Source organism: Homo sapiens, chromosome 18, assembly GCF_000001405.40.
Source record: "Homo sapiens chromosome 18, GRCh38.p14 Primary Assembly".
Lineage (NCBI taxonomy): Eukaryota > Metazoa > Chordata > Mammalia > Primates > Hominidae > Homo > Homo sapiens.
Genome location: NC_000018.10, coordinates 78,493,845 through 78,496,486, shown reverse-complemented (window position 1 = coordinate 78,496,486; position 2,642 = coordinate 78,493,845). Strand labels below are relative to the sequence as shown.

The 2,642-nt window shown below is 56.7% G+C and overlaps 1 annotated feature.

The window, feature by feature from the left end:
- Positions 1,195 to 2,394: an enhancer, noted in NCBI's record as "P300/CBP strongly-dependent group 1 enhancer chr18:76254093-76255292 (GRCh37/hg19 assembly coordinates)". NCBI's record gives its function as "activates an origin of replication core promoter dependent on BRD2, BRD4, P300/CBP, MED14 and CDK7 cofactors, with strong dependence on P300/CBP, by STARR-seq in HCT116 cells {active_cell/tissue: HCT116}" and the evidence as "EXISTENCE:reporter gene assay evidence [ECO:0000049][PMID:35650434]".

Sequence of the window (2,642 nt, the reverse complement as noted above, 5' to 3'; positions counted from 1 at the left end):
TAAGAGAAATCTCCATGGCGCCCACCGACCAGCAGTGCAAATGCGTCCTGCGCGCATGAGAACGTCATTACTTAAAAGCATATTTCCATCCTGTTTCTGATGGAACATTGTCTGTTAATGGACTGTGATAACACAGTTCAAATGACAGATCCAGGCTCAGGTTTGCCAAGATGGGAAGATGAAGCCAGGGACGCCGCTCACGTGGCCTGTGGCCTGGCCCGGCTGAGCCCCTGAAGGGCCAGATACAGCCTGGAAGTCGGCTCCGCCCCAGCCGCTGTGGGAGGACTCCCCGGTCCTGTTGCATCCACAATCTGGATGCAAGTCCCACGCTGGGCCTCGGAGAAGAGGTGGCTGCTCTTGTTTGCCAAGGCAATTTGCTGACTTCTAGCAGGAAAATGGCTTTTCCCCATATGAAATGGAAATGTGGGCATTGCTAGGAGAGAAAAGATAAAAGCAAAGTGGTTCTCAAGCTGGTTCCTCTCTGGGTGACCTGGCACGCTTGCTCTCACTGTGAAAACAGCTTGGAGAGAAAGGGTGAGGGGATTTCATTGTATTGATTTAAAAGGAAAATGCAGCTTTCATGTTTTACACAGAGCCCGTGTGAACGAGAAACCTGTGTCCTTCTCTGAGCTCTGGAAGTGTCTCCTGGAAGAGGGGAGCCGGTGCCCCAGCCGGGCGCCCACCTGGGCTCTGCAGTCCCAGTCCTGCTCTGAGCTCTGGAAGTGTCTCCTGGAAGAGGGGAGCCGCTGCCCCAGCCGGGCGCCCGCCTGGGCTCTGCAGTCCCAGGGAAATGGCTGCCTCCTCACGCTTGCGGCTCAGCCTCCAGTGCTTGGGGCCAAGGTTCAGATGAAGTTAGAAAATGATCAAAAGCCATTTGCTAATTTTATGCCATACACGTAGTATACGCAGAGAAAAGACACATGTTTAGTGTCCGAAGGTGCCCCATGAAGCAGGTACGGCGTATGTGAGCCCTCTGAGGCAAGGCTCCCCACAAGAAATGCTGACTGCTCCATAGGAGACCCGGCTGTCCCATGCCTGTGGTCTGTGGTTCTGGAAACTTCTACCATGGCTGGCTCCTGGGTGGCCTCCACATGGCCTGTCCCCGATGCCCTCTGACCAGGATCCACCAATGCAACTACAGGCAGGAGGCTGTAGGGAGGACCCTGTGAGGCCTGGTGTGGCCCTCAGCTCCTGGCTAGCCTGGGCCAGGACTAAATTCCCCGTAAACTGCCCTACAGTAGTGGGTTCGGTGGCATCTCCCAACATCCACGCCCACACAGAATCTCAGAGTGTGGCCTTATCTGTAAACTGGGCCTTCGCAGAAGGACTTGATTAAATGCGGTGATGCCAGAGTTGGGTAGGCCCCGATCCACACACTGCTGTCTTAGAGGAAGGTGGCCACATGAAGCCACAAGACACCCCACAGAGAAACTGCGTGGCCATGGGGACAAGATGGGGCAGTGAGGCCACCCAAGTCACAGAACCCAGCAACTGTGGAGCCTCCAGAAGCTGGAAGAGGTGGAGGGGTTCTCCCACAGAGCCCCTGGAGGGACGTGGCCCTGCTCACACCAGATTTGGGGCCTCTGGCCGTCACCACACGACGGCAGCGCTTTGCTGTGGCAACCTCCAGGAAGCCGTCTCCAGCTGCCTGAGCCCAGTCTCTGCCTTCTCCAGGTTCTCTGCTCCATCCCCAGGCTTCCCCAGTGTCCCTGGTCTTGGCTGCCATCTGCCTTCAGGGACACCAGGTGTTTTCCCAATCAAGCTTGTGGTCCTTGGAGTGAGAGGGCCGGGTTAGCTGCACCTTTGTATTTCTAGAGTCTCCAAAGCAGACACGGGTGGACGAGGTGGTAATGCTGACACATGTGACAGTGATGCTGACACTAGTGATGGGATGACTCATGTGAAGGTGACTCTGACTCTACTCACTCTACCCCAGCAGGAGCTTCCTGAACTTGGGCAGACGTCGGTGGTGGGACAGGCAAAGCGAGGTTGGGAAGGAAAGGCAAGGAAGGGTAATAAAGCAAAACCAAGTCCCAACCTTGGTCTCAGCAGCCACTCAGTGCTGGCCTGGAGCCCAGAATCTCCCACATCCCCGGCTCGCTGAGTCATGTGATGGTGGGATGACTCCGTGACTGTGGAATGACGCATGACCGTAGGGCGACTCACTGAGGGGGATGGCGACACACTGAGGGGGATGGCGACACACTGAGGGGGATGGCAACTCACTGAGGGGGATGGTGACACACTGAGGGGGACAGTGACACACTGAGGGGGACGGTGACACACTGAGAGCGATGGTGACTCACTGAGGGGGATGGTGACACAATGAGGGGGATGGTGACACACTGAGGGGGATGTGACACACCGAGGGGGGTGGTGACACACTGAAGGGGATGGTGGCTCACTGAGGGGGATAGTGGCTCACTGAGGGGGATAGTGACTCACTGAGGGGGATGGTGACACACTGAGGGGGATGGTGACACAATGGGGGATGGTTACTCACTGAGGGGGATGGTGGCACAATGAAGGGGATGGTCACACACTGAGGGGGATGTGACACACCGAGGGGGATGGTGACACACTGAGGGGGATGTGACTCACTGAGGGGGATGGTGACACAATGAAGGGGATGGTGACACACT